The sequence below is a fragment of the Homo sapiens genome, chromosome 4 (genome assembly GCF_000001405.40).
Source record: "Homo sapiens chromosome 4, GRCh38.p14 Primary Assembly".
Classification (NCBI taxonomy): domain Eukaryota; kingdom Metazoa; phylum Chordata; class Mammalia; order Primates; family Hominidae; genus Homo; species Homo sapiens.
In genome coordinates this window covers 6,089,873-6,114,935 of record NC_000004.12, presented here as the reverse complement: position 1 = coordinate 6,114,935, position 25,063 = coordinate 6,089,873, and the positions used below count along the sequence as shown (strand labels likewise).

The following is a 25,063-nucleotide window of genomic DNA, read 5'->3' as shown; positions in this document are numbered from 1 at the left end:
GTGGCCACAGAAAGGAATAAAAAGGAGCAAGCTTCCTTTTTTGGTGTTGTATTTTCTGTGTCTTCCTGCCCATCAGGGCATGGGGAGGTGCACTTCAGACTCGAAGGCTGATTTCTGAGAACTGCTGTGGTTATAAAAGCGGCAGGTCAGCCGAGGTGAGGAATGAATTATGTATCAAGCTCTAAGTCAGATCAAGGCGAATGGAGTTCATACTTGTCTGAAGACAGAATGTACCTTTCTGGAATCGATCAGCGGTGATGTTGATTAGCCCAGAATAATCCTTCATGGTGTGTTAAGAAACACCCCTCTCTCCTGTTCAGGAGGAAAGCAGCTGACCTCCATCACTGCCTCCCAGATTTTGTAGCTTGGAGGGATGTCCCAGGGCCCCAGGGCTAGCAGGTCCCGCCTGACTTCAGTTCATGGCCACCGAGCATCTGCAACTTGCTGGATGCACTGGTGTTGTGGAGACCCCACCCCAGACCATCCCTGGGCACCCCTGTCCTGTACTTTCTGCATCTCCTGTCCATAGGCTGAGGTCACATGGACTCCAGGAGGCCAAATCCAATGTCCAGCTTCAGGTCCTCACCTTGACCTCTTTGGGGCTGCCCGCTGTTGGAGTCTTCCTTCTTCTAGACACACCATCTTCTGTAGCCTCCCTGGTGCTTTCTCTCCTTCTGTCCTGTTCATGGCCTTCCTTGCCAATTTTGTCTCATCTGCCCAACCTCCCAAGTTAGCATTCCTTGACACTGGAGTGTTCCCTCCTCGCTCTGCATTCATTCCCTACATAATCTAATCCCAACGCCACGACTCACTGACTGTGTGGATTTAGGTAGCTGACTTCACCTCTCTGTGCTTTCATTTCCTCATCTCTAAAATGGGCCTAGTAAAATCCTCTCTCACCAGGTGTTCCAAAGATGATAGGACAGGATTCCCAGCTCCCGTCACAGGCCCTGGCACATGATGGGTGCCTCATGACTCTTCTGCTGTCACTCACTCACTCATTCATTCACGCACCTGGCGGATCCTGATGGAATGCATCCTTACGTGCTGCCCTCTGTTCTAGGCATGGAGGACACAGCAGGCGCAGAGCAGGCCCAGGCCCTGCTTACTGGGAACCCATCCTCGTGTAGGGGACATAGATGAGAACTAAGTCAATTACAGTTTGTCAGATGGAAAACGAGAAGGAGACGTGGTGAAGGGAAGGGAGAGCAGAGGCGGGCTTTCCGAGGCAGCTTGGGGCGGTGATTAGGCTCAGTCCTGGCTCACCCGCTTCCAGCTGTGGACCTTGATCAGGTTCATACTATTTCCTCTCTCAGTAGTTGAGTGACATCACCAGCAGTCAACCTCTGTGTGTCTCAGTTTCCTCATCTGTAACACTGGGTGATATCACCTACCTAGTAGGGAAGGAAACCACTAACCTCTGAAATCGAAAAGTCCATTTCTCTAAGTGTGGTCCTCACGCCCTGCTCCAGAATTGCTGGGATTGTGGATGGAAATGCAGATTCCCTGGACCACCATGCTCCTCATGCTTCAAGCTCTGGATGAGGCCCAGGGCCCTGCTTTTTGGAAGAAGCACCTTGGGAGACACAGGCTCACTGATGTTGGCAGACCATGGTCTGCAGGCTGCTGAGATGGGCTGGTCTCATCCTGATGGGAGCAGGATGGACTGAAGCTATTCCAGGTGTGGTCACCTGGGAGCCTCACCTAGGAGCATGTTAGAAATGCAAATCAGATTCTCTAGGGGTGGGCCCAGGACTCCACGCCTTAACAACCTCCAAGCGATTCTGCTGCAGCCCCCATCGGGAAGGCTCTAGGTCAGTCTGGGAGTGGCAGGTCATGCTCCAGATGAGGCAGGTGCCTGGCCCAGGGTGCCCGAGGCAGGGACACCAGCTCCCCACCCTTCTGTCTCTGCTAACTCAGTTTCCCTCCTTCCTTCAGGATCCCAAGTGATGGTGGTTTCCTCGGAGGGCGAGCTGAGTCCTGCGCGACTGGTTAGCACGGTGGAGCTGGTAGCCACGCCTGCTGGCTGGCGTGCGTGAACAGGTGTGGACCGCAGGATCTCAGCACTCTGACCCAAGGGGAAGCATGTCGAAGAAAGGCCGGAGCAAGGGCGAGAAGCCCGAGATGGAGACGGACGCGGTGCAGATGGCCAACGAGGAGCTGCGGGCCAAGCTGACCAGCATTCAGATCGAGTTCCAGCAGGAAAAAAGCAAGGTGGGGGTTGGCGTCAGCTCAGCAGCGGCTGGGCTGCAAATGTCCCTTTGGGCAGTGTTGCCTCTGAGGCATGTGTGTGAAGAGCCTGTTCCAGGAGGGGGGCCGAGGGGGGGCACTTCACCTCTCTGCCCTGCTGTCTGTCCCTTTGCAGTACAGAGACTGCTGGGCAGGAGTCTGGGCCCTACCAGTGCTTGCTGTGACCTTCAAAAAGCCACTGAACACCTCATTCTTTGATTTCTCTTACCTGCAAGATGGGGGTTGTCAGAAGAAAAATGTTTGACAAATTCAGTTTAGCAGAGATTAACTGAGCAAAGAACGATTCGAGGATGGGGCAGTCCCCAGAACAGAACAGGTTCAGAGAAACCTGCATGTGGTCAGACAGCATTCATTATGGGGACAGAAAACAGAAGAGGTGCTGAGGCTACTTGATCAGTTACAGCTTGACCCTTGATCCATGGGTCACCTGTGATTTACTGATGCTCAGCTGCTGTGATTGGCTGAGCTTCGGCTATTTGTTTAAAAATGCTCCTAAGTCAGGCTTTTGGTTAGTTTGCCTGCTAAGTTAGGTTGCAGTTCATCATATAGGAACTCATGCATGAAGGCATCCTCAGGCTGAATTCAGCAGGGTCATGGCGGTACCAGCTTTTCCTAAATTCCAAAAGGGAGTAGGGCATAGTGAGGTATGTCCCACTTCCCCGCTTCCCATCATGGCCTGAACTAGCTTTTCAGGTTAACTTTGGAAGACCCTTGGTGGAGAGGAGGGATCCGTTCAGATGGTCAGGAGGCTTCAAAGTTTATTTTTGGTTTATGCTGCCATGAGGTCTTGTAAGCCATATATGTGCTTTCTTAGATGTGATGGGGCTGTGGTCTGGACTCAGGGCTCTGCTAGGTAAAGAGCTTGGAACAGAGCCTGGTTCTGCGATATGAGCTACTTTCCTCTCTCCTAAGGCAGATTTGAGCTTTGGAGCTGGTCAGGACAGTGCCTGGTTGGGTGCTGGCAGTCTAATTAAAGCACGGGCTGTCACAGAGGGGAGGAGCACAGGCTTTCTAGGCAGACCCGGTTTCAAACCTCAGCTTGTCCGCTAACTGGTCTCATGATCTTGGCCAGGTGACTAAAAGTCTCCGAAACCTCTGTCTTCTCATCTGACACCAGCTATTATGGTGTAATTATAGCTGTCCGGTTTAAGATGGTCATGAGGATCTGATTAATGGATGCAATAAAAAGCCCCATCAACATCTGGTGCCCAGGCACAGCTGCAGTCCTATTTGGTGGCCTGCTTCTGACTTGGGTGGGCTTGAGGGTAGAGCAAGCCCAGGGTTCTGTGAGCCCAGAGAGGAGCTGCCAGCCAGGCTGAGCACAGAAAGAGCATGGAGATGCAGGCTTGCTCCTGGGTGGCTCGAGCAGTTGAAGGTCTATCTGAAGCCCCGAAGGTGCCCTCTGGCTCCTGCTGTAGTACCTGGAGTGACGGGTGGAGGCTGCTTGGGGAATTGCAGCAGGCGTCCCTGTCTTGTTGAGCTGGGACTCAGGTCGCCAATGGAGTGCTGGGCCAGATCCAGCTTCCAGGTGGGGACGGGGCTGGGGCCTGGGATCTGGCTGCAACCCCAGCTCAGGATGGCCACACAGAGCAGAGGCTGAGTTCTGGACCAGGGGACTGGGCTTCTGGAACTTGGGGACAGATGCACCTGTCTCCATCCCTAGGTGTTCAAGATTCCAGGCCGAGTGCATCCAGCCTCTTTTAGACATGGATGCTGGTGATGCTGACCTGTTCACCCTTTAGCCAGGTCAACAGGCCAGGTCACCTCCGGGGCTGGGGCTGGGGCTGACTGGCTGGGGGTGTAAGGGCTGGCAGCTTGTATCTGGACATAGCTACAGCAGCTGTGGTGACAGGGAAAGCTGCTCACTCATATCACACTGCCTGGGCTCAAATCCCCTCTCCACCACCACCCCTGCCTGAGGTCTTATAAGCTGTGTAACCCCCTGCCTCAGTTTTCCCATCTGTAGATGGGGACCTCTAAGGTGTCTGCCTCCTGGGTTGTTTGAGGAATGAATGAGACAGTCACACACAGGGCCTGGGTGCTGCCTGTCATACGCTCACATGACCATCAGGGTGACCTTTACATGCCTACTGTGCAGATAGCACCAGGTGCTTTAGAGGGTGTCATGACCCTGGCAGTGACCTGAGAGATCAGGTGTGGCTTCCCCCGTGTTACAGGTGAGCAAGCCAAGGGCTGGAGAGGGCGGGGACTTGCCCAGGTGTGTTAGCTTGCCAGGGCTGCAGTAACCAAGTCCCACAGATAGGGCGGCTTACGCAACAGACGATTGCTGTCTCACAGTCCTGGAGGCTGGCAGCCACAGATCCAGGTGTCAGGATTGGCTCCTTCTGAAGCCTCTCTCCTTGGCTTGCAGACGGCCGCCTTCTCCCTGTGTCTTCACATGGCTTTCTCCTCTGTGTTTGTCCATGTCTGTATTTTCTGTTCTTACAAAGACACCAGGCAAATCGGATTAGGGCCCACCCTAATGACCTCATTAGGATCTATCTCCAAATGGAATCACATCCTGAGGTCATGGGGGTTAGGACTTCAACATATGATTTTCAGGGGGACACAGTTTAGCCCCACACACGAGGCCAGCACAGTAGGTGGTATTGCAGGATTGAAAGCCAGGCCCATGCGGACCCCAGGCTGGGCCTCCCTGTTACCAGGCTGCCTCCCTGCCTCTGGGACGTGTGGCAATTTCCACTTGGATGCACGCTGGCTGATTATTTTCTCAATCCAGCCATCCATGTGGCCGCTTCAGGTTGACTTTACCCATCTGGCTGCTGGGAGAATTTCAATTCTCTGAGAATTCAGTAATGTGCTTATTGACTGGTACAAAAAACATAAATGCAAACTTTACAATTGCATTGAAGTGTTACTTTGATATGATCTCACAATCACTGTCAATGTCCCATTTAAAGTGCTGGCATTTTAGCAAAGCATCCCTGTTGAACACTGTAGGATGAAGGAGGGTGGTAAACGTGTCTGTCTATTCATCTGCAAACCCCTGGCATGCATGCTCCATGCCTGGGCTGAGTGAGAAGTGTTTGGAAGTAACTCAGAGACAGACCCTGTCCTCAAGTCGCATGGGTACAGAGCCTCACAGGAAACCAGCAATACAGCAGCCCTGGGCACATTCCATCAGAGGTTTTAGAAAATAGTGCAGGGACAAGCAGAACCCAAGGCTTCACAGGGGCAGTTTTGTGGGGGTTTTGTGGAGCATTTCCTTACTTTCTGGCATTATAAGATGCCCCAGGCTCCGCAGTGGCTCATGCCTGTAATCTCAGCACTTTGGGAGGCCAAGGCGGGCGGATAATGAGGTCAGGAGATCGAGACCATCCTGGCTAACACAGTGAAACTCTGTCTCTACTAAAAATATAAAAAAATTAGCCGGGCGCAGTGGCGGGTGCCTGTAGTCCCAGCTACTCTGGAAGCTGAGGCAGGAGAATGGCGTGAACCTGGAAGGCAGAGCCTGCAGTGAGCCAAGATCGTGCCACTGCACTCCAGCCTGGGGGACAGAGCGAGACTCCGACTCAAAAAAAAAAAAAAAAAAAAAAAAAAGGTGCCCCAGGCACATCTTGTATATTTCCTACCCCAGCGCTAGACCCAGCAGTTTCTCTAAGGGGTCCTGGTTCCTTTTATTGGAGAATGGCATTAGAAACAAAGATCCAGGCACCAGGCGTGCCCATCACTGCTGCGGTGTCATTGTTTCTAGGCCCTCTCAGCTGCCAGAACAAGGAATATATATGTGTATACTGACCTGCGTATGTACGCATACCTGTAAATATTTCCATATATGACATCTATATCCATACAAAGTCAAACATGAGTTCTTACAGATGTCCCAAGACGCATCCACTGCCGCATGGCTCCCTTCAGCCTCCTCTTGCTTGTCTGTAACCTCTTACTCCAAGTGGGAAACCTGGCTTCCCCCTCTGCCATCCACTTTCTTTGTTCAACACTATACATGTATGATGGTTTCAGAGTAGTGAACTGGTACCCATGAGATTTAGAGGGCTTTGAGCATGGAGGGTGTGGCGGGGAGGGCTGCTGCAGGTGGCTTGGGCAAGGGGGAAGTGGGGAAGTGGCCAGGCCTGGACATGGAGAGCCAGTGCTGCTGGATTGGATGAGGATGAGGATGGAAAGGGGTGAATCTGACTCACTCTCTGAGTGGGAGTGGCAAGTGAGGGTGGTGCTGGTGGTTCAGATAATTTCTCCACGCCAGCCCCCACACCCCCAGGGCATGCTCCCTCTCTTGGCCTTTGTGCCGTGGCTGCATTTAGAGTCCAAGTGCTGAGGAGCGGCTGGTGTAGGTGCCTCTACACTTGGGGTAGCTTGGAGGCACCTGGAGGTAAAGTGCTGGGCGGCTTTTTTTGGCCTGCTCAGCTGGATGGAGTGGTGGTGGGAGGGAGTGCTCTGTGCCCATCAGAGGTCACCCCAGCCTCACTCTGCTGCTTCTGTGGCATAGGTCATGTCACCTGGGCTTGGCTCTCAGCAGCTTTGGGCAGAGCTGGAGGGACCCAGCAGGGCCCTGTCCCCAGGCCCCTGCCTCTCTGTCACCATCCCTGCCCTACACACCTGGATCACCAGCCTCAGCAGCACCTCTGCCCCTCCCAGGAAGCAGCCCCTAGACGCCCCGGGCTGCCCTGCACAGGCCTCTGCCCACCCTTCCATGTTCCTCACCCCCTTTCTACCTGTGTCTCTCACACGAGGCTGCCCACCCCTGATGCAGAAAGTCAGAACCACGATAACAACAGACTTCCATTCACCCACCCACAGTCACCTCATCTTCCTCCTCTCAACGGGCCTTTGAGGGGCAGCTGTTGCCATCCCTGTTTCCTAGTAGAGGAAACTGGAGCTCTGGAAGGTTGTGTAGTCAGGGTTCTTCAAAGAAACAGAACCAATAGGTTGTGACACACACACACACACCCCCCACAGAGTGAGAGGTTATTCGTTAGTTTTAAGGAATCGGCTTATGCGGTTGTGGGGCTGGCAAATCTGAAATGTGTAGGGCAGACCAGCAGGCTGGAGATTCAGGCAAGGGTTGATCTTGCAGCTTCGAGTCCCAGTGCAGCCGGGAGGCAGAGTTCCTTCTTCCGCAGGGGACCTCGGTCTTCTCTTAAAGCCTTCGACTGATTGGATGAGGCCCACCTACATTGTGGAAGGCACCGTGCTTCACCCAGAGTCTACTGATGTAAATGTTAATCTCTTATAAAATGTACCTTCACAGCCACATCTGGACTGGTGTTTGACCAAACGACTGGGCATTGTGGCCCAGCCAAGTCGACCCACAACATCAGCCACCATAGAGGCAGAGAAATTTGCCTGGGGAAACGCAGCTCATCAAAGCAGATTAGGATCTCATTGGATCTGACCCTGCTGGCCCCAGATGGCTGTCGGCATTAACCAGGGACTTGACTGTTGCCTCGCAGGAGGGAGAACAGTCAAAACCATTTTGTCCATAACTGGGACAATTCTGTTAAATACTTAAAGTTCTGGCTTCCTGCTGCTAAATCCACTAGGAAAAGATGCTGATTGCTGCCCCCAGGGTAAGGTGGACAGAACATGGACTGGTCGCCTGGCTTCATTCCTATGATTGTGAGTATCTGGTGAAAGGAGATGTTGATCTTGTGTGTTTGCCTGGGTTGGTTTTATTTGCTTTTTTACCTGCTGTTTTAAGTAAGGATTTATCAATACTCAGGTGCCATTGTAAAACTTCTCACCTAAAATTAATTTTAACATGTGACTATGCTATCAACAGTGTGGTCTGGGGAAAAACATTGCCATTTTCCCTGGAAGCAGCTTGTCCACCAGAGGCAATTCATTTCAGGTCTTCAGAGACGGGCAGAATTCAGGAAATAAGGGCTTGTCAGGCGTTCCTGTGGAATGTGTGTTGAGTGATATTTGAAACAAAAAGGTTAAAGAAAGCATTTTGAAGTGTTTTAAGAACACACTCCCTTGGGACGTTTTATAAGTAATGTTTTGAATTGTTTGCTGATAAAATGAATAGGCTCAAGGCGGGGTGGGTTGCCTGGTAGCACAGGGTCCTCATCCCTCACCCTGGGCAGCTCACCAGACTGTCTCTGATCTTTGGCTGCCTCATGATAAAACAGAGGAGAGAGAGAGGAAGAGAGAGAGAGAGAGAGGAGAGAGGGAGAAAGAGAGGGAGCACGCTACTTCCTTCCCAAGACCGTGAGGGGTTCATGTGGCAATGTGGGTGATGCATTGGAGCCCCCAGCCCAGCTAGGGACCCCACTCAACAAGAATGGTGCCCCCTGCTCACTGCCCCCCAGGACTTAGAAGCCTGGTCTGTCTTTTCCAACTCCACAGTCCGCGCATGGGGCCCTGGAAATATATTTCTGGTTTACAATCTTTTGGGTCTTGGTGATGATTTCTGCAGGGTGTGTTTTGTGATTGAGCAGTCGTCTCAATTTACAACCTGGAAGAGATGTCAAAGGCTTGAATGCCTCTCCAGCATCCTCAGGGGGTTTCCACCCCCAGGGAAAGTCTCAGGGAACTAGCAGGAGAGATTCTAAGTGGGGCTGGCAGGAGGGTCAGGCCTGCAGGGCACTGCCGAAGGGGGAATCCATGGGAACGTGGGCCCAGGTGGGTGTCTTGGGCGTGGGGAGGCTGTGGCCAGCTCCCCCAGCTGTGACCCTGACCCTGACCCTGACCCTGACCCTGACCCTGACCGGCTCTCTCGCCGCTCTGGCTGCAGGTGGGCAAACTGCGCGAGCGGCTGCAGGAGGCGAAGCTGGAGCGCGAGCAGGAGCAGCGACGGCACACGGCCTACATTTCGGAGCTCAAGGCCAAGCTGCATGAGGAGAAGACCAAGGAGCTGCAGGCGCTGCGCGAGGGGCTCATCCGGCAGCACGAGCAGGAGGCGGCGCGCACCGCCAAGATCAAGGAGGGCGAGCTGCAGCGGCTGCAGGCCACGCTGAACGTGCTGCGCGACGGCGCGGCCGACAAGGTCAAGACGGCGCTGCTGACCGAGGCGCGCGAGGAGGCGCGCAGGGCCTTCGATGGAGAGCGCCTGCGGCTGCAGCAGGAGATCCTGGAGCTCAAGGCAGCGCGCAAGCAGGCAGAGGAGGCGCTCAGTAACTGCATGCAGGCTGACAAGACCAAGGCAGCCGACCTGCGTGCCGCCTACCAGGCGCACCAAGACGAGGTGCACCGCATCAAGCGCGAGTGCGAGCGCGACATCCGCAGGCTGGTACGTGCCGCCCCCTCCCCCGCCCGCGGGCACGCGGCCTTCCCTCCCTGCACGCATGGGGGAAATGCGGAGCTCCGAGGACCTGCTGTGCTCCAGGCATTGTTCAAAGCACTGGGGCCCCAGCAACCTCCCTCCCGTCTTAGGTGTGGTAAGGAGGCTTTGGGGCTGCAGGTAATCCGCTCAAAGAACAGTTCCCCATTTGTCAAAGGAGCTTAATGGAGACTAGCGAGGGTTGTTGCAAATGCCTCGTGATAGCGTATCTAAGTGTCGGGCATTTATTGATTCATTTACTTCAACAACCATGAGCAGACTTCCATCTCCAGGTAAGATGCCACAGGTCAGGGCAGGCCGGCCAACTGGCTGCAACAGCAAGGGAAACATATAAATTGCAAATAGTCCTGTTTTGAAAGATACTGGAGATCTGTGGAAGCTGTGGAGTGTGGATGAACTAAAATTCCAAAGGGAAGGGGAAAGAGCCCTGCCTGGGCGGCCTAATTGCCAGCTGCTTTCTTCCCTTGGGGCATTTGTGGATTCTGGGTGCGGGCTGAGGATTGGATGTCCTCAGAGAGATGAGTAGGACTTTTCTGCCATCTCAGAGTGGGCATGAAACAATGGAAACCAGAGGAGCCCCACCTAGGCCAGCTTGCTGCACAGGAGATCCTCCTGAGTCCTGGAGTGAAGGGGGAGGCTGGCGAGCCCAGCTGGAAAGGCAGAATGACAGCTCCCATGCCCTCACTGGACGTAGGAGACAAAGGGAGGGGGCCCGCCACAAACACATGACCAGTCTGCCCCTCAGGGCGTTTGTCACACTTTGAAGCTGTGTGGGGCAGGAGGCTAAGAAGTAAAGTAAGCTGAGATTTTCAGACTGGATCAAAGAGTAACAGTGATATTTACAAGAGAGACATCTTAATTATGAGGACATGGTGACATGGAGCATAAGAGGATGGGGAAAGATACACTGTGCAAGCACTTCCTAAAAGCAAAGCTGGTCTGGCTGTATTAATGTCAAAGGCTCTAAGGCAAGAAGTAATACTAAAGACACAAAAGGACAGTTCTTAATAATAAAGGGTCAATTCAGTGGGAATGCATTCAATAACAAAACCTCAAAATGTATAAAAGAAAAAAATTATCAACACTAAAAGGAGAAGCAGACAAATCCACAGTTACGGTTGGGGACGAACACGCTTCTCTCAGCAAACAGTAGAACACACAGACAAAGAATGAATAAAGACATGATTTCACCAACACAATTAACCAACGTGAACTTACCTGACAGAGCACTCTATTCCACAACTGCAGAATACTGTGGACATGACATACTTTTATCATTGTAGACCGCATTTCAAAATTTGTGGGTTGTAATTAGTCCTTAGAGCAAAACATATTTTAGACAAAAAGAAGAAATGCTGAAAATCAAGCATCTAAACTTCTATCTCAAGAAGAAAGAAAAAGAACAGCAAATTAAACTCCAGAGAGTAGAAGGAAGGAAATTTTAAAGAGCAAGAAGCAGTGAAATAAAATCAATAAAGAAAATCAACAAATTCAAGAGTTAATTAAAACTGATAAATTGACAAACATTTAGCAATATTGATAAAGCAAAACAGAGACAATAAATTACTAATATCAAAAATGTAAAGGGGGAAATACCACAGCTCCTACAGTCAATAAAACCACAGCAAACAGCATATACCAATAAACTTGAAACCTCGATAAAATGAACATATTCCTTGAATAAGCACAATGTACCAAAACTGACATGAAACAAATAGAAAATCTAAGTAGTCCTAAAGCTCCTAAATAAATTAAATCTGTAATGAATAATTTTCCTATGAAGAAAGGCCCAGGCCTAGATGGCTTCACAAGTAAATTCTTTCAAGTGTTTAAGAAAGAAGTAAAACTAATTCTAGCCAAAGTCTTCCAGAAAATAGAGAATTAGGAACACATTTTAACTAACTTATGAAGCCAGTGTAACTCTGATTCCAAAAGCAATAACATTACAGGATAAGAAAACTTTTGGATTACCTTTTATGAACATAGATACAAGAGTACGAGCAAGATATTAACATATCAAATCCAGCAATACATAGGAAGGCTAATAAGTCATAACCCAGCTGGGTTTATTCTGAAAATATAAAGATTGGCTTCATATTCTAAAATCACTGAATATAATTCAACATAATAATATGATAAAAAAGAAAAACGTGGTCAGTCATCTTAATAGATGCAGAAAAATCTGTTGGTAAAATTCAACTTCATGATATAAACTCTCCGAAAACCAGGAAAAGAATGGAATTTCTCTAATATGATAAATGGTTCTATCAAAAATCTTTTACAAGTAACATACATAATGATGAAATATTGAACATTTCCCACCCAAGTTCAAGGTCAAAACAAGATGTTGACTATTACCACTTCTAGTCAACATTGCATTGGCCAGGATGTCAAATATAAAATAAAATAAAATAAATAAAAGTTTCATTGGGAGGCCGAGGCAGGCAGATCACGAGTTTAGGAGATTGAGACCATCCTGGCTAACACAGTGAAACCCCATCTCTACTAAAAATACAAAAAATTAGCGGGGTGCAGTGGTGGGCGCCTGTAGTCCCAGCTACTCAGGAGGCTGAGGCAGGAGAATGGTGTGAACCTGGGAGGTGGAGCTTGCAGTGAGCTGAGATCGCGCCACTGCACTCCAGCCTGGGCGACAGAGTGAGACTCCCTCTCAAAAAAAAAAAAAAAAAAAAAAAAAAAAAGTCTTTAGAGAGGGAGAAAAAAGGGAAACTCATTATTTGCAGGTGCTATGGTTGTGATGTAGCAAACCCAAGACACCTGTTTTAGTTCATTACTGTTGCTATAACAAAATAACACAGACTGGGTAACTTATATATAATAGAAATTTTTTTCTTACCATTCTGGAGGCTGGGAAGTCCAAGATCTAGGCACTATCTGGCAAGGGTCCAGTTTCTGCTTCTAAGACAGTGCCTTGAATGCCATGTCCTCACATGGCAGAAGGAGTGGAATGACAAAAGAGAGGCAGGCAGCTCATATTTCTCTTATAAGGTCACTAACTCCCTTCATAAAGGCTTTGCCCTCATGACTTCATCACCTCTTAAAGACCCCATCTCCTAATACTATCACACTGATGATAAGTTTCAATGTATGAATTTTTGTGAGACACATTCAGAACATGGCAAGACCCTACAAACTATTAGAATTAATAAGTGAGTTTATCAAAGTCTACATATACAAGGTACATACACACAAATAAGTTGTTTCAATATATCAGCAGTGAACAATTAGAAAATGAAATCTTAAAAAATATCATTTACAGTAGAGCACCACAAAATTCAAATACCTAGGAATAAATCTAAGGAAAGTTGTGTAAGATGTCTCCCCTGAAAACTATAAAACATTGCTGAGAAAAACTTAAGGAGATCTAAATCAATGGAAAGGGATATCGTTTTCATCGATTAGAAGACTTAGTATAGATATCAGTTTTTCCATGATTGATCTACAGATTCAGTGCTATCCCTTACCAAAATCCCAGCAGACTCTTTTTTTTTTTTTTTTTTAACTGAGTCTTGCTCTGTTGCTCAGGCTGGAGTGCAGTGGCATGATCTCAACTCACTGCAACTTCTGCCTCCTGGGTTCAAGCAATTCTCCTGCCTCAGCCTCCCGAGTAGCTGGGATTACAGATGCCTGCCACCATGCCCGGCTAATTTTTTTTTTTTTTTTTTTTTTTTGTATTTTTAGTAGAGATGGGGTTTTGCCATGTTGGCCAGGTTGGTCTCGAACTCCTGATCTCAAGTGATCCACCTGCCTTGGCCTCCCAAAGTGCTAGGATTACAGACGTGAGTCACCACGCCCAGCCACCAGCAGACTTTTTAAATGCAGACATCGGCAAGCAGATTCTAAATTTGATGTAAAAATTGAAAGGATGTGGAATCACAATCTTGAAGAAGAGAAAAATTGGAGGTTTCATACAACCTATAACAAAGTTTACTACAAAGCTACAGTAATCAAGACAGTAGGCTGAAGGTTAGAGAGACACGTCAATGGAACAGAAGAGCCCAGAAGTACATCTTCACGTGTGTGGACAAAGATACCGTGGCAGTTCACTATAGAGAGGATGATCTTTCAATGGACAATATTGGACTGGTCAGCTATCTGTAAGAAAAAAAAACAGGAAATACACACACACACACACCACACACACTCTCTGTATATAGAGTATGAAGTCTATATCATACTACCCACAAAGATTAATTCAAAGTGGTCCATAGGCCTACATGTAAAAAGTAAAACAATATAGCTACTAGTAGAAAACAGACTATTTTCATGATCTTGGGACATGGTAAATATTTCTTAAGCAGGACACAGTACACTATTTACATAAATATACTATTCAGAGAGGGTTGTACATTGGACATGAAATAATCATTGTTCATCAAAAGACACTAATAAAAGAGAGACAAGGCAAATTACAGACTGAGAGAAGACATGTTCAATACCTATAACCACAAAGAACTTTTGTGCAGATTATAAAAACTATAAAATAATATGAAAACTCAAAAATGGGCAAAAGCTTGAAAGAATATTTCAAAAACAGGATAATTAAATGACTAACAAATATGTGAAAAGGTGTTCTACCTCATTGATCATCAGGGAACCAGAGTAAAATTACAACTAGATATAAATTCTCATCCACTAGAATGACTATTAAAAAAAAACAGACAATAGTAAATGTTGACTAGCATGTGGAGGAATGGGTACCGTCATTCTGATAGGACTTTAAAATGGTATAGCCACCTTGATAAATGGTTTTGTAGTTTCTTAAAAAGTCTAAAAAAAGGACACCTACGGACTCTGTAATTCTACTCCTAAGTATCTACCCAAGAGAAATGAAAACACATATCTATATAAAGATTTGTACATGAATGCTTATAGCATTATAATAGTCAACGAATGGGAGAAGCCCAAATGTCCTCAGTTGGTGAATGGATAAATGTGGCATGTCTATATAACACAATGTGATTCAACAATGAGAAGGTATGAAATATTGATATATGCTTCAATATCTATAACATTTCTGAACCTCAGAAACATTATGCTAAATGATAGAAGCTAGACACAAAAGACCTCATATTGTATGCTTGCATTTGTATGAAATCTCCAGAATAGCCAAATCTATATATCCAAATCTATAGTGGCTGACGGGGACTAGTTGGAATGGAGATTAGCTGTAAATGAGTGTGAGGGACCTTACTGGGCGAGGAAGGTTCTGAAACAGATTATAATGATGGCTCCACAACTTGGAAGACTTACTAAAAATCGGCGAAGTTCATGATTTATAAATTAAACTCTAAAATGTTTAAAACAAGAAAAATTGGAAATTTAAATAGGATTGATAAAAGTTTAATGGTGGATCTTGTATTTGCATTTAAAAGGAGCATATTTATAAGAGGAAGAACAGCACACAATGAAACAACACTGCCCAGGCACCAGGATGGCTAAATTAAAAAGCTAACAGTGCTGAGAAATGGCAAGGACGTGGAGCAGCCGTGCCCCTCGGTAGCATCCCATACACTAAAGTGCCCTAAAACGAAACAGAGACATCTGTTAACTCAGAATTTCTCATCAAGCAAAAAATATTATTTTACAATAAGAGTGAAATAAAGACATTTTAGGTAAAAGGAAGCTAAGATTATTTGTCGCCAGAGGCTGTACCACCAAAAATGCTAAAGGAGGTTCTGCAGGTGAAGAGAAACAATGCCAGATAGGAATTTAGTTCTCTTGGAAGGGAATAAAGAACAGGAGAAGTGGGTAAAGGAGAGTCAATGTCTGAGACGATCTCTTTTTCTCAGTGTATTCAAAACACAAGTGACTGTTTAAAGCAAAAGAATCAGATTGTATTGTGGGGTTTATGACATATGCAGACGTAAAATGCATAAAACAATCTAGAAAGGATGGGGTGGGGGTGGTTGGTGGAAAATGGATCTGTGCTCTCGCACAGTCCTTCAGTCTTGTCTGAGGGGGTGCGTGACGCTATGAGTTCAAGGAGGCTGTGACAAATCAAGGTTTAAAAAGGCAGCACAAGGAGGCACAGATAAAAAGCAAATGGGGAAATAAAATGAGAGACTAAAGAAATCTGTTTGCACTAAAAGAGGGTAGCAAAGAAGGACCAAAGCAGGGGAAAAAAACAGACGAGACAAATGGAGAAGAGACAGCAAAACGGTGGAATTAAAGGAGTCATATCAGTAGTTACATTAAATGTAAATGGACTAAACCAGTTAAAAGGCAGAAATTGTCAGAGTGGATACAAAAGTCACACTTTAAATATAAAGACCCACTTTCCCTGAAGGAAAAGGATAGAAAACATGCTCTGTGAGCAATAAATGTAGCAATAGGATGGATAAAGGTGTATTTAGTCAATGGGATATTACACAGCACTGGGAAAAAATGAATTTCCAAAACAGGCAAGAAAATGAATGAATTTCCCAGCCGTGGTGTCAGAACCAAACCAAAGAAGATGAGCACAAAAGCTACATACTATATGATTTTACTCACATGAAGTTTAAGAAGCGTAAAAACTAATCTAAGGTGCTAGAATAAGAGTGTGGATGACCTCCGGGTGTGGGGTTGATCAGGAAGCGGCAGGAGCCAGCCTTCTCGAGCATCAGGAATCAATCTTTCTTTCTTTCTTTCTTTTCTTTCTCTTTCTTTCCTTCCTTCCTTCCTTCTCTTTCTTTCTTTTTCTTTCTTTCTTTCTTTCTTTCTTTCTTTCTTTCTTTCTTTCTTTCTTTCTCTCTCTTTCTTCCTTTCCTTTCCTTTCTTTCTTTTCTTTCTTTCTTTTTCTTTTTCTTTCTTTTCTTCCTTTCTTTCTTCCTTTCCTTCTTTCTTTCTTTCTTTCTTTCTTTCTTTCTTTCTTTTTCTTTCTCTCTCTCTCTCTCTTTCTTCCTTCCTTCCTTTCCTTTCTTTTCTTTCTCTTTTCTTTCTTTCCTTCCCTCCTGCCCTTCCTCCCTCCCTCCCTTCCTTGTTCCTTCAGATGAAGTTTCACTCTTGTTGCTCAGGCTGAAGTGCAATGCTGTGATCTCGGCTTACTGCAACCTCCACCTCCTGGATTCAAGCAATTCTCCTGCCTCAGCCTCCCGGGTAGCTGGGATTACAGGCGCCTGCCACTACGCCTGGCTAATTCTTTTGTATTTTTAGTAGAGACAGGGCTTCGCCATGTTGGCCAGGCTGGTCTCGAACTCCTGACCTCAGGTGATCCACCTGTCTTGGCATCCCGAAGTGCTGGGATTACAGGCGTGAGCCACCGCACGCGACGAGGAATGTTTCTTTTCTGACCTGGGTGGTAGTTGTGTAAAGTGTGCTCAGGCAGGCGTGGTTTTGGACAGCACCTTGTTAAACCAGACTCATGCGTATCAGAACCATGTTCTCGAACTCCAAACTCGACACTACACTTTTGTTATCTCTGATTCAAGTCACAGTTACCGCTTTTCTGTCCCACAATGTAAGTGAGCCATAAAGGGCATTGCATTTTAATTATTCTTTCCGGTTCCACGGAGAGAGCTTTCACTACCTCTGAAATATTCAAAGCCAGACAAAAACCTGACATCCTGGTCTTGGGTGCTTTTGATCAAGGGAACCAGATTGCGTTTCTCCAAGCTGCCTAAGGAAGCGTGGGCCTGGCTTTTCCCATGGAATGGTTGACTCACACCATTTGTCAAATGATGATGAGAATGAACGCTTCTTATTGCATTTTTTGTTGCAAAATGGGGAAGTGATCTGTAAAGCTTCCCCCATCCTTATGGAGTTTTCCAAAGGTGGTATAGAAATAGGTTGAGCATCCCTAATCCAAAGTCCCAAATGCTCCAAAATCTGAAACTCTGTGAGTGCCAACATGAAGTCACAAGTGGAAAATTGCACACCCAACCTCCTGTGACAGATCGCAGTCAAAATGCAGGTGTACAACGCAGTGTATTTAGCATACCCAAGGGGAAAAAAGATCCCCCTAGCCCCCATCAGCTGTGATAGAGCTTCCATACACACCCAGACTCCCCATGCAAGCAAGCTCACATGTTACCATGAGCACATTATCTTCTCCACTGTATCAGTGGTATGTGTGAATAAGTGTAAGAAGTGATTACTTATTGGTAGCATATAAATTCAGAGTCAGAACGGGGCGAGATGGCTCATGACTGTAATCCCAATACATCAGGAGGCTGAGGTGGGAGGATTGCTTGAGGCTGAGAGTTTGAGACCATCCTGGGCAGTGAGGTCTTGCCTCTACAAAAAATTTAAAAATTAGCCGGACATGGTGGCATACCCCTGTAGTCCCAGCTACTCAGGAGGCCCAGGTGGGAGGATTGCTTGAAGCCAGCAGATTGAGGCTACTGTGACCTACGATCATGCCCCTGCACTCCAGCCTGGGTGACAGAGAGAGAGTCTGTCTTGAATAAATAAATACATTCATTGTCAGGAATGATGGTGATGCCAAACAACCCCAGACTGTCAACTTGGGTGGCTGAGACAGTGAGAACTTTGCCTTCCGATGTTTCAATGTACACAGACTTTTGTTTCATGTACAAAATTATTAAAAATATTGTATAAAATTACCTTTCAGCTATATGTATAAGTGTATGTGAAACATAAATGGATTTCATGTTTAGACTTGGGTCCCATCCCCAAGATATCTCACTATGTATGTGCAAATATTCCAAAATCCAAAAACCCTCAAATCTGTAACACTTCTGGTCCCAAACATTTCAGATAAGGGATACTCAACCCGTACTCCCATTTTACAGGGTAAAAGTTATGTGGGAATTTTATACTCAGCCTCAGGCCATGGATCCTCTTTCAAAACTCAATTCTGAATGATACAGGATTAAAAGCAATGTCCAATGGGATCTGAAAATGAATTTGTTATAATGATAATGACAAATATTATTTTACCCCCAGTTTCCTCAACAGAGTATTTGATGCACAGATGGCATGCAGGCCTTTAGAAAAATGGAGAGTGAAGATATAGCCTGGGAAACAGTCTTTAAACAATGTGGCAGAGGGTTAACATCCTCAGTGTATAAAAAGTTTGTCAAGTTTACAAGAGGAACAATGGGAATTTATAATTAGTCAAGGCATGGGAACACACAGTTCACAAAGAAAAGCAATGCCTATTAAATATAAAAATTAGTTTAACCTCACCGGTCATGAAATGCAAATTAAAACAGCAGGATGCTATCATACCCAATCAAATTAGCCAGGATTTTTTTTTAAAGGTAGGGTGTAATTTAAGTGTCAAAAGAGAAGACAGCAGGTGCCTTTGGCAGGTTGTTCTCAGCCCCAGGGCCCTTGCACAGGCACTCCTGTGTCCTTGGCCGGGAGCGCTCCAGCCCCGATCTTTGCACCGCTGGTTCTTTCTCACTGAGTAGCTCCCACCTCAGTGTCCCTTGTTCAGGGAGGCCTGCCTGAGCATCATCTAGGCCAGCCCCGAGTCACTCAGTTATATGCCACCTTTTCCCATCCTTGCCACAGCACTTCTCATCTGATATTTTTCTCTCTCTCTCTTTGATTATTTCTTGTGTGTTTTCCCCTACTAGGATCCAAGTTCTGTAAGGACAGGGACTGAGTCTGTCTTGTTCACTGTGAAAGCCCAGAGCCTGTGCAGTGTGGTGCATAGCAGACGCCCCCCGCCTCTGTGCAAACAACAGCTTTATGCACGCTCCTGCCCTTTAGTGTGCTAATTCCACTTCCAGGAGTCTACCGAAGGAAATGTGCAAAAGCATGCACAAATCTTACGTACACATCAGATGGCACCGTGTGTGTTCTGCCAGTGGTCTATTGCATCCGCGTTTGCTGCCTCGAGTTTCTGAGTCAGGACAATGACTCAGGCATTTATGACAAGCTATAGGGACTTGGGAAAGTGAACACAGAAGGTTAAAAAACAGGATGTATGGCTGCAAACAGGACTCTGTCTTGCAGAAGTAGAATGAGGGGAAGCAGGTGACAGGTTGGCAGGGGCTGCCTCTGGATCCTGACATCATGGGGGCTTTCTGTTTCCTTCTCTGTTCTTTGTTGTATTTTTAATTTTCCTTCCTTCCTTTCTTCTTTCTTTCCTTTCTTCCTCCCTTCCTTTCTTTCTTTCGCTGTCTCTCTCTTTCCCCTTCCTTTCTTCCCTCTCTCCCTCCCTCCCTCCCTTCCTTCCTTTCTTCCTTTCCTTCCCTTTTTCCTTCGCTCCTTTCCTTTCTTTTCTTTCCTTCTTTCTTCTATTTCCCTCCTCCCTTCCTTTCTTCTTCCTTTCCTTCCCTTCTTCCTTCCTTTGCTCCTTTCTTTTTCTTTCATTTCCCTCTTTCTTTTCTTTCCCTTCCTCTCTCTCCCCTTCCTCCCTCCCCCACTCCCCCTTCCTTCCACTTTCCTTCTTTCCTTCCTTCCTCCCTCCCTCTGTCCCTTCCCTCCCTCTTCCTTTTTATTTTTCTTCTATCTTTTTTCTTTTTTGACAGGGTCTTGCTCTGTCGCCCAGGCTGGAGTGCAGTGGTGCAATCACAGCTCACTGCAGCCTCTACCTTCCAGGCTCAAGCAATCCTCCCACCTCAGCCTCCTGAATAGCCAGGACCACCTATGCCCAGCTAATTTTTTTGTATTTTTTGCAGAGACAAGGTTTCTCCATGTTGCCCAGGCTGGTCTTGAACTCCTGAGCTAAAGCAAATGTCCTGCCTCTGCCTCCCAAAGTGCTGGGATTATAGGCGTGAGCCACTGCGTCTGGCTGTATTTTTCATTTTCTATAATGGATCTGCATTCCTTTCCTAATAAGAGTTAAAACTTTATTTTTGAAAGAGTGCCACTGTTGGGAACTAGTTTGACAAGGTAGGAGGAATCAAGGCACAGCTTAAGGCCTTGGGCCTCAGGATCTCAACTAGGAGAACAGGGGCCGATGGACCAGCCTAGGCTGGGTGCCCGCAGTTCCTGAGACCCCAGGGGCCCCGGAGGTTGGTAGGTTTGTTTACTCCCATGCCTGTCTGCCAAGCCCTCTCACTGGGGCCAGGCTGTTTTCTTAGCACGATTCCTCCTGTCAGTTGGGTAGGAGTGGCCCATTTCTGGCCTTCTCAGTGGCCCTTTCGCATCAAGCTTCAGGCAGCTGGGAGATAAAGGAGAGTGTTTTCTTTCTTTTTTTGCCAGAAAATTACGGAAGAGAGGCTATATATTTTCCGGGCACTCCATTTGGTGAGCACCTGCTGTGAGCTAGACCCAGGGCTAGCACAGATTGTTTGAGATTTTATTTTATGCTTTTATAAAACCATAATGGTTGTTTTTAAAACTCATGAACTGACAGTGGCATGTGTTCGATGCATGTTCCCTATATAGATGCCTGCTGGGCCAGCCTCTCGGGGGAGTCCTGGGGGGCCATGGCTAAAACCCTGCCTGGCCATCTGCAGGGAGCTCGCAGTCTACTGGGGTGACAGGTGACACCCGCTCCCATGTGATCTCTGCTTGGGAGGTGAAGGGCAGGACATCTGGGGACTGCCCAGCCGAGCCAGGGTGGCAGAAAAGAGGGAACTTGCAGCCTCCTGGGCAGGTGGGACTCTGGAGCCCTGCACACAGGTTGACCAGACACATTGAGTGGTGGTGGGCAGAGGCACTGGGCCAGGACTTGTTCCCCACCGACTCCTACCACGGGCAAACCTGGCTCCTTCTTTGAGGAAAGTGACCTCTTCCCAAGTAAGCATCATTCCTCTCTGGAGACAGGATACTTTTCAGGGCACGGCAGCCACACCTCCCTGTACAGGTGGACATCATTCATTGTAATACAGGAGGTGTCTGGTTCAGGACCCTGAACTTCAAGAGACTGCTGACCTTTATGAGGTGACTGTTTTGCATAAGAATTTGAGTGATTGTTTCTGAAGCTGTCTTTTTGGGACATCTCGTTGGGTTGGTTATCAGCCTTGGAAGCAGCACATGATCTGGACTCGCTGCTAATTGCTGCATGTTAATAGTAAACAATCAGTTTAATGGGAGCTGGACACTGTTTATAGTCATCCATGGCCATGAAATTTGCTGTCAGTCAGAATGGCCCAAGAACACATATAGCCCTGGGCAGGAGAGCTCCCCCTCAGTTGAATATTTATTTACTGAGTTATAGAGAAAAATAAGACACGATTCCAGGCAGCAAAGCGCTTACAGTTAACTGGAGTGTGAGCAGATTATTCTAGTGTGAGCAGGACGGTTTGGTAATAGGACCATGCAAGCCAAAGAGGCAGCAACAAAGAAGAGGATGTGATCACTTCTGTGGGTAGATGCAGGAGTCATTTCACAGAGGAAGTGAGGTGTGAGCTGGGTTTTGAAGGATGCATAGGAGTTTGTTAGGTGATCCTATGCAGAGGGAGAAACACTGGCAAAGGTTTGGAAGTAATGGGGCATGATGTGATCATTTTAACCATATCTCTAAAATAGCCATGATGATATGTGATACTTGGATTCCCAGTAAAATACAAAATGAAAATATAATGGAATCCTGTTGTCAAGTACTGGAGACTTTATTTTCTTACTTTTAATAGGAGTTCTAAAAGTGTGAACTATTTCTGGCAAAAGGTATAGATGAGATCACAAGCAAACACCTTGTGCCCACCACACAGTAGATGAAGCATCACAGGTAGAATCGAGGCCCCTGCACCTGAATCTGGGGGAATGATTTCCAGGAATGCGTTTCTGTTTCTATCTCCCATGCATGTGATGATGACCGATATAGTGGGTCTGCATGAACACTGAAAAGGTTTTCTATTCTCTGCCTTCCAATGACTTGGGGTCAAGGACCCTCTTAGAAGGGGCCATGCTTCCCTGCAGACCTCACTATGCTGTGCACTGAGAGCTTCAGTGACAGAATAACGACGAAGGGTATTTTGCTTATATTCTATCTTTTCCTCCTATAGACTTTCATAGCTGGGCAGAACCAACAATGTTCTCTCAATGGCTTAAAACCCACCTCTGCCAAGCCCCGTGCATTCCCAGAGGAGCAGGAAGGGGGTGTGGCCATGGGGAGGGGAGCCTGCGGCTGCAGGTGGGTGGTGCTCCAGTTTCCTCTGGGCATCGGTACACAAGCCCATTGGCAGGAAATGGTTCTTCGCCCAGTGTCTCATTTTGTAGCACAGGAAGGAGATCTAGGGAAAGTGAATGACTTCAGAGAGCTGAAGTGCCTGTACCCACACTGGCCCCCTCTCACTGACAGTACAGGGCTCCTCTGCATGCAGGCTGTGGGCTGGCCGGGATTCCACCACACCTGGAGTGTGCTCTTCAGGTGAGGACGGCTGGGAGGGAGGGGGCGGGACACCCAGTGAAAGGCACTGAGGGTGTTGCTGGGGTAGAAGGGAGTTCTCTCTTTTCTTTTCCTTACCTTTTAAAAAGTCCTGATGATTTGATGATATATTCATTTATTCCGCACCCTCAATGTTGGAAAGACTCTGAGATTCCAAAGGTTCTTAGAAACTAAGAACCTCCTGGAGAGGTAGTGAGTGTCCCAGCATGGGGAGAGTGTAAACTGGGGCTGGGGGCCCTCTGCGGGAGATGAGATGCTGGAAGAGATTTTGGGACTGGAGGCAGGTGACAAGGCACCCTTTTAAAGTCCTCATCCAGCTATAGCCTGGGTCCCACAGTTGGTGACAAACCACCAGTTCATGCCTTAACCCCATACTGTGCCAAGAATGGCAGAAGAGCTGTGTGTCAGTTTAAAATTTCTGATTTATAGACAGTGCAAGCACACCAATACTGAGTCCTCAGGAACAGTCTCCAGCCCCTTTTCTCAATCACGTATGTTCATGGGTTTGTGTTCAGGGGAGCTGTCATCACATGGTGGGAAGAGAAGCCTTTGGAGAGAGGCTGCCCTGAGTGATTCTGGGCTCCCCATTTGTTTGCCATGTGACCCTGGGACAGGTGGTTACTGTCTCCAAGCCTCTAGCACCTCACCTATAAAATGGGGGTATTCCCATATCTGCCGAGAGTTAGAATTAAACAAGCAAGTGAGCTAAAGCATGTAGCAGCTTATAGTTTCTGTAATAGGATACTTGTAAAATGTGTTCTTCTGTTATAGGAAAAATGTATATGTAAGAGAAGTAAAATGGGGGAAAAAATACTCTGTGTATTTGCACAAGAGACGGTTTGAGCTTAATTTAAAATGTGCCAGGGATCCAGTATCACAAAGGCTCCGTTTCCATTTCAGTGCCAAACAAAAATCTCCCCCCATTCAGGTATCTCATTGTGTGGATGGTTTTCACCCAAAATGGTCCACTTAGGAGAAGGAGTGAAAAAATCAAACGTTCATTTCTCCTATTCACCCACACCCTGTCTGATAAATGTCACTCCTTAAGCAAACCTGTTGCCCATGGCAACACATTCAGAAGATGGGCTGCTGGTTTCATTTCTTTGTCAGCTGGCTTGGATTAGAAATGCAAGAAGGCTTTTGGACTTGTGTCTACACATTAGGATGCATCTTAGTAAAAGTCAAGAAGAAAAGGTGGTTATGGTCAACCTGGGGTGGCGATGCTCTAGTTTAAGGCAGTCATGGTCAACGTGGGGTTTTGACACTCTAAGGACGTCATGGTCAACGTGGGGTTTTGACACTCTAAGGGCATCATGGTTAACATGGGACAGTGATGTTCTAGTTTAAGGTGGTTATGGTCAACATGGGGAGTGACACTCTAGTTTAAGGTGGTTATGGTCAACCTGGGGCAGCGATGCTCTAGTTTAAGGCAGTCACGGTCAACATGGCGTTTTGACATTCTAAGGCGGTCATGGTCAACGTGGGGCAGTGACGCTCTAGTTTAAGGTGGTTACGGTCAACATGAGGCGGTGACACTCTAGTTTAAGGTGATCATGGTCAACATGGGACAGTGATGTTCTAGTTTAAAGTGATCCTGGAGCCCATACTGCGTGGCCTGTGGCTTCTGAGAAACCCTGGTGTGGTGCTCTGTTAGTTTCCTGGGGGCAGCTGTAACAAATTACCACAAACTTGGAGGCTTACAACAATGACATTTATTTTCTCTACGGTTCTGGAGTCCAGAAGTCCCAAATCAAGATATCAGCTGGGCCATGCTCCCTTGGAAAGCTCTAGGGTGAAAGTGTTTTCTGGCCTCTTGCAGCTTCTGGTGTGGCCGGCAGTCCTCGGCATTTCTTGACTTGCAGTCGCACCACTTCAGTCTCTGCCTGCACGTGGCCTTCTCCCCTGCATGTCTGCAGCTTGTCCTCTTCTTTTTCTTCTTTTTTTTTTTGAAATGGACTCTCACTCTGTCACCCAGGCTGGAGTGCAGTGGCGTGACCTCGGCTCACTGCAACCTCTGCCTGCCAGGTTCAAGCAATTCTCCTGCCTCAGCCTCCCTAATAGCTGGGATTACAGGCATGCACCACCTCACCTGGCTAATTTTTGTATTTTTAGGAGAGACAGAGTTTCACCATGTTGGCCAGGTTGGTCTCAGACTCCTGACCCCAGGTGATTCGCCTGCCTCGGCCTCCCAAAGTGCTGGGATTACAGGTGTCCTCTTCTTTTAAGGATGCCAGTCAGTGGGTTTAGGGTCCACCCTAACGTGGTATAACCTCATCTTAATTTGCATCTTCATTTCA

At 47.2% G+C, this 25,063-nt stretch overlaps 1 protein-coding gene across 4 annotated transcripts in view, besides 2 other annotated features; it reads left to right on the top strand.

Moving 5' to 3' along the window:
* JAKMIP1 (janus kinase and microtubule interacting protein 1) overlaps window positions 1–25,063 on the top strand; it is a 174,351-nt gene that overhangs the window by 85,614 nt on the left and 63,674 nt on the right. For 3 of the 4 annotated variants that reach the window (NM_001099433.2, NM_144720.4, NM_001306133.2), the window contains exons 2-3: window positions 1,939–2,214; window positions 8,969–9,463. In NM_001099433.2, the coding sequence (NP_001092903.1) occupies window positions 2,086–2,214; window positions 8,969–9,463 (624 nt within the window). In that variant the 5' untranslated portion in view covers window positions 1,939–2,085. The remainder of the gene's footprint in view (window positions 1–1,938; window positions 2,215–8,968; window positions 9,464–25,063) is intronic. The other variant, NM_001306134.2, reaches the window with a different exon arrangement.
* Window positions 8,716–9,248: an enhancer, noted in NCBI's record as "H3K27ac-H3K4me1 hESC enhancer chr4:6107415-6107947 (GRCh37/hg19 assembly coordinates)". NCBI's record gives its function as "activates a minimal SCP1, AML or CMV promoter by ChIP-STARR-seq in primed H9 embryonic stem cells {active_cell/tissue: H9 hESC(primed)}" and the evidence as "EXISTENCE:reporter gene assay evidence [ECO:0000049][PMID:30033119]".
* Window positions 22,627–23,128: an enhancer, noted in NCBI's record as "H3K4me1 hESC enhancer chr4:6093535-6094036 (GRCh37/hg19 assembly coordinates)". NCBI's record gives its function as "activates a minimal SCP1, AML or CMV promoter by ChIP-STARR-seq in primed H9 embryonic stem cells {active_cell/tissue: H9 hESC(primed)}" and the evidence as "EXISTENCE:reporter gene assay evidence [ECO:0000049][PMID:30033119]".